General features: G+C 45.9%; 1 long non-coding RNA gene across 1 annotated transcript in view; it reads right to left on the bottom strand.

Moving 5' to 3' along the window:
- Positions 1 to 1,199: 1,199 nt before the first annotated feature.
- The window catches only part of LOC107984618 (uncharacterized), a 46,289-nt gene continuing 41,488 nt past the window's right edge, over positions 1,200 to 6,000 (bottom strand). The window contains exon 3 of the long non-coding RNA XR_001750032.2: positions 1,200 to 2,975. This is a non-coding gene — a long non-coding RNA (uncharacterized LOC107984618). The remainder of the gene's footprint in view (positions 2,976 to 6,000) is intronic.

Genomic DNA, 6,000 nt, shown 5'->3' with positions numbered 1-6,000 from the left:
AGAGCTTCTTTAATTTCTCTCAGCAATATTTTATAGTTTGCAGTGAACTTTCTACATATTTTTGTTGGATGTATTTCTAAATAGTTTATATTATTTGCTACTTTCATAAATAGTAGTTTTTGTTTCTATATGTTAGCTTCTAGTACCTAGAAATTTGATATATTTTTACATATTGACCTTATATCTTGCAACCTTGCTAAACTCACTGATTAGTTCCAGTAGCTGTTTTTGAGAATCCCACTGGACTCTGAAAGAAGCCAGACTAAAAGGACCACATACTATATTATTCCACTTTATAAAGCTCTAGAAAATATAAACTAATCTAGAGTATTTGATGGGACAAGGGAATGAGAGAGGAGGTTACAAAATGAAATAAGAAAACTTTTAAGAGTGAGAAATTCGTTTGTTCTTTTCATTGTGTTGATGGTTTCTCATTTCTATACATTTATCAAAACTTATCAAATTATACCCTTTAAAGATGAACAGTTTATTGTGTGTCAATTAAGCCTCAAAAAAGCTGTCTTTTAAAAAAATACTTTTGACAAGTTAGAACTAAACATCTTTTCTGATATTATTGGTCCTAAATAATTTATATCAAAGGTCATAGATTGCAGATCTGATCTTATTATAAATCATGTCACTTCTATTCCACAAAGAGACTTCACTGTGGCTTTTCCACAACTGTAAATGGGTTCACCAAATGTAGCAGCATGTTCCTGGAGAGTTATTCCCAGATAGAGAGTTGGTCTGAAATGGCATCTTCTAATAGAAACACCAGCCTGTCATTTACATCCAGAGAAAACACTCATGCACATTAATTTCTATTCCATGCCTGGATAGAAAACAGCAGAGAAACTCTATATTCCGAGTTTGTTTTTCTTTTTAATGTAAAGTTAAGGACATTACTTTCTTCATTGTAGGAATCTTAAAAAATGTTAGAGTGAATGTTGACATTGGAATAAGGTTTAAAAGGATGGAGAATGGGGAGGTGTATTAGTCTGATCTTGAATTGCTATAAAGAACTATCTGAGACTGCATAATTTATGATACAAAGAAATTTAATTGACTCACAGTTCCACAAACTGTACAGGAAGCATGACTAGGAAGCCTCGGGAAACTTAACTATCATGGCGGAAGGCGAAGGGGAAGTGAGCATTCTTCACAAGATGCAGCAGGAGAGAGAGAGAAGGGAGAGGTGCTGCACACTTTCAAACAACCAGATCTCCTGAGAACTTCATCACAAGAACAGCAAGGGGGAAATCCACCCCCCAATCTAATCACCCCCTAACAGGTCCCTCCATCCACACTGGAAATTACAATTCAACATGAGATTCGAGTGGGGACACAAAGCCAAACCATATCAGGAGGGAACTGTACTGGGATCCAGCCATGTGTCGGTGGCTGCCAGCTGGGGTGTGGGGCTTCACCCCGTCTTACCCCTGAGGAAGCAGCCACACACTGTGAGAGCCTCTTGCACTCACACTCTGTTAGGCAGCAGTGCCCATTGTAGGACCAAGTCTGAAAGTATCACCTGTACCCTCCTCCTACCTGCTTGTCCTGACATAGAAATGGCTTTAATGAAAGGCCTTAGAAGGAGTCTGGCACAGCGTGTGGATCCGTGAACGCAAGCTTGCATGTGTTCCCAGGCGCAGTGCTTTCTTCCTCGGCCTCCCAGCTCCCTATGGTGTATGGCACAACACACTTCCCTAAAAATTATCTGCTAGTTCTGTGTGGTGTACAAGGCCTATGTTCAATCAATATTTGACTGCCAATTTTATCTAACACACTGTGGGAGATGCCAGCTAAGAGAAGATCCCTTTTCTTTTGGAATTTATAAGTAGGAGGTTGGAAATCAGAGAACAGGCTCTGGGACAATGAAAGGGAAGAGAGAAATCACTGAAATATTTTGTGTGCAATAATTATAACAATACCACTTTAGGGAGCATTTGGTATCCTCTAGGAACGATGCTAAGCACTTGACATATCTGTTTTTCTATCCCGACGTGGTTTGAAAAAATAATCGCACAGTATCAGCATTAGACCTTAGAAGCCAGCTTATGCAACCTCCCATCAAAAGCAAGATTCTATCCTCTTTATAGGACACTTGGCAGTAGGTTGTCCAGCCTCTGATGAGGCATCTCCAGCAGTCACGTATGGAATAGTGAGACATGACCTGTGAAATCTGACCACAGTCTTCATGCTGAGAGAGAGGGCAGTGGCAGCAGTTATTAGATCACGGAACTCGTAACAGTGTCCCAAAAAGCGAAGTGGACAAAACGGGAGGAAGTAGGCAGCTGTGGTGCCACGCGTGGACGGCACTTGCTTTACCTATCACCTCATTCTGTTGCTCCCTTGCAGAGCCTTAAGTTCCCAAACCTAGTGCAGTGCCTGGTACACGGCTGCTCAGGAAAGATTCACTCACTGAATCAGTGAAACCCGGGCAGTGCCATTTGGAGGAGGGCGCATCGGAGGAGGGTCGGAGATGAAAGATTGCTTCTCTCGATGTTGTCCTAAGACATGTCCCCAGGAAAAACCAGTCCCAAATTCTTCAAGGTCAGAGCCCTATCATTTTTTGGCCACTGCACAAGGCAACTAATGTCAGATATTGATCTTTGGAAAACTACTGCACATTAAAAAAAATCAAAGATGGAGTAACAGATTGGCAACATGGCTAATGGACTGCTGAATGCCCGATTGTTGCTGAGACATAAAACATTCTGGAAATGAAGCACAGAGAACAAAGCCCGAGTGTGTGGCGTTGGGTTTTGTGCCAGAAAACACAGAATCCAAGTGACTTCTGGGTCTATTGCTGGCTGGCTGCTGACGGAGACCTTTGTTGTTTCTCATGCAACAATAGGAAGGGTTCTTTCTGTTTGCATACGGGTTAGTTAGCGTCTGGGATGCAGGTGGAATGTACAAAAGGAGCTTGCTGGCTTCTGTCTTTTCTAGACAAATGACCGGGATATTACCCATGCCTGTTAAGTAGACACACAGAGAAATTAAATTAGTTCTTCTGGGCCATGGAGAGCCATCCCATCTCTTTCAAATCCAATTCACAGATTAACACAGAATAAAAAGGCTGAGTAGGTTTGTGACGATAGTCACACCTTCACAAAGAGTCTCCCACACTCAACTGTTCACCTCCAGCCAATTCTGAGTAAACACTTGGCAACGGTGTCCAGTACAGCCACACAACAGGGTCTCTCTTGCCATCTCCATATCTCACTTCCGAGTAATCATAAAAATTACAAAGGGGCCATTTTTGAGCATTTGCTATCAGTTACTGTGTGGTGTGTGTGTGTGTGCATGTGTGTGTGTGTGAGAGAGAGAGAGAGAGAGAGAGAAAGAACTTAATTGGAGATTTTGAAACACAGTTTTTTCTTTGTAGAAAAGTTACAAGAATAAAATGTTTCAGGAATGGAGAAATTCTGTACAGACAGTGAAGGCTTGAGGCACAAAGACAAATTTTCCTTTTTAGCCACCCTGAACTGAGATGTTTCTGCATGGTTGAGTTCATTCATTATTAAATCCATCTCTTCTGAGGCCTCTCCCACTCACATGTTAATGTCATTTTCTCATTTGACAGACGATAGAACAGATATATGTCTATAATAAATTGTCCAGAATGATGCAAATATTCCATAAATATCCAGGTTTTTGTCCGGCCAGGATCCACCAAAGATTCCCAACTATTTCCTTCTTAAAGGGCCAGACACCAAATGCAAGCCTCAAACTGGGCCACAGAGCAAGAATGCCTTCCAGTGTCCTTGGCCTATGACAACGTTCAGCATTTGCACTAGCTGTAGCCAGGGTGGAGTCCCGAGAAGTCACATCTCACAATAGCCCATCAAACCCAACTGGCCAGGAACATCTGCTATGTGCAGGAATATGGAACAGACAAGATGAGAAGGATGTCCCTGGACTCATGGAATTAATTAGCTGGGAGATCAAGAAAGCATGATCATTTCAGTAATAGGAGAGACATATGCTGTGACATGGGATGTGCGTGCTTCGCTGGGAGCAGCGTGAAAGTTGGGACAGTTAAAGTTGGGAGATGGGAGAAGAGTGAAAGTTGCTGTGGAATAGAGAGGGGAGGGCCTTCCTGTCAGTGCGGGGAGGGGGCCAAGGATACACGTAGGAGGAACCTGGAACACCCTGAGCTGGGAGGAAGGAGGAGGCTGACAGCACTGAGGCTGGTGTCAGCATACCGAGGGGGGCACACCTGCACTTGCCCTGTGGCAGGAATGTAGGAAGCCATGCCAGGGCAACAGGAGCCACTCATGTCTGATGAGCAAGGGAGGGACCAGATGTTCCAAGAACAAGGGACTCTTCCTGATGGACAGGAGCACACCCAATAATTATCAAAGAGTAACCACCTGGGTGGAGGACAAAAGACACCCCTCACACCAGTCCCTGCCACCTGTGGGTCAGCCTCATGAATCACCATCACTCAGAGTTTCTTAAGTGACAGTTAAACCCAAGATACCATGCTAAGCATTAGAAGGATTTTTTAAAAAGTATAAAGGCCTTACTTCATTGTTCTCAGAGAACTTACTACTCAACTGGGGAGAGTACAGTGGAAACAACCATCATGCCACAACCCAGAGACAATGCAGCCCTTGTAATGCATTCTGCGCTGGCAACTGCAGAACACGTCACAGGGCCAGGAGGGCCGGGGAGTCTCCCGTGCACTACTCCTCCTGTGCCTAAGGCCTGGAGGAGCAGGTAGCGCCTGGTGGGTGGACCTCAGGTGCCTTCTGAGGCTGCGCAGGGGAAGGGAGGGAGTGGGAAGGAGGCCTCTTCAAGCCATTGGAACAGCCACAGGTCACTCCAGCCCCAGCCAGCAGAGCACCACCCAAGTGCGAGAGGCTGTGGTAGTGCCAGGCGTTCCGGGTGACCACACCCACCTGGAAAGCCTCATCATGGCCCTGTTGCCATCATTAATTTGGAGGCTGGTGTCAATCCTTCCACAGTTAGAATTTCTCACGAGGCGATACAAGGTTTGGTTTCAGAGATATAAACTGGAATAGGATCAGATATGAACAACGATCAGAGACTTCCCCATAATCTCAAACAGCAGAGACAAGGTCAGGCTGTGGGGCTGGCACCCACCTGGCCCCCAGCCACGCCCTCTCTGTAAATCGAGCTGCTTCTCCTTCTCTCCCCTCTGGCTGTGGCAGAATCCCACATGGGGAGGTCGAGCCACATGTGGCCAAGAGTGTGAGCTGGGGCATCAGGGCTCCTGGTCTCCATGGGACCTGTTGCACACCACATCATTCCCTCTGGGCCTCAGTTTCCCCATCAGGCAAATGGGGTTGTCAGTTCTGCTCTGAGCCAAAGAGACCATGCGGCCACACTTCGGTCCCCTGGACATCAAGACACCACATCCCACCCGTTCCCTGAAAGTCAGGCTTCCTGCCCACATCACACAAAACCCTGAGCAGTCAAGACAGATGTGTGATCCCAGGATGCTGGTGGCAGTGTCTGCTGTCCTCTGGGAGACCTATCTTCACCTGACTAGATGAGGCCCACATTATGGAAGGCAATCCCCTTTACTCTAAGTCAATAGATTTAAATGTTAATCTCATCTAAAAAATACCATCTCAGCCACACCTAGGCTGGTGTGTGACCAGATACCTGGATGCTGTGACCACGCCCAGCAGACACTGAATTATCTGCCATGTCCATCGATCTCACCAGCCCTCTGCTGTCTAGGGCACCATCCTTCCAGCCTTGGCCCTTGACACACCCCTTCTTCTCACATCAATGCCCCAGCCACGCTGCAATTCCTCCATTCGTCTTCGTGCTGATGCCTTCCCTTGTCTTTGAGCCTCTGCACATGCTTTTCCCTCTGCCTGGACACTGCCCTTCTGCTGAGCTATTCTCCAGATTCCCCTTAAACACCACTCCTTCAGTGAGGCGTCCTCCTCCCCGTGCCCCTGGACGACTTTCAGTCTCCTTGCCACAGGCCCTCATAAGCCTCTATAACCTCCCATGGTC

Source organism: Homo sapiens, chromosome 13 (genome assembly GCF_000001405.40).
Source record: "Homo sapiens chromosome 13, GRCh38.p14 Primary Assembly".
Taxonomy (NCBI): Eukaryota; Metazoa; Chordata; class Mammalia; order Primates; family Hominidae; genus Homo; species Homo sapiens.
Note: the sequence above shows the minus strand (reverse complement) of the source record. Positions and strands in the feature narration are given on the sequence as shown.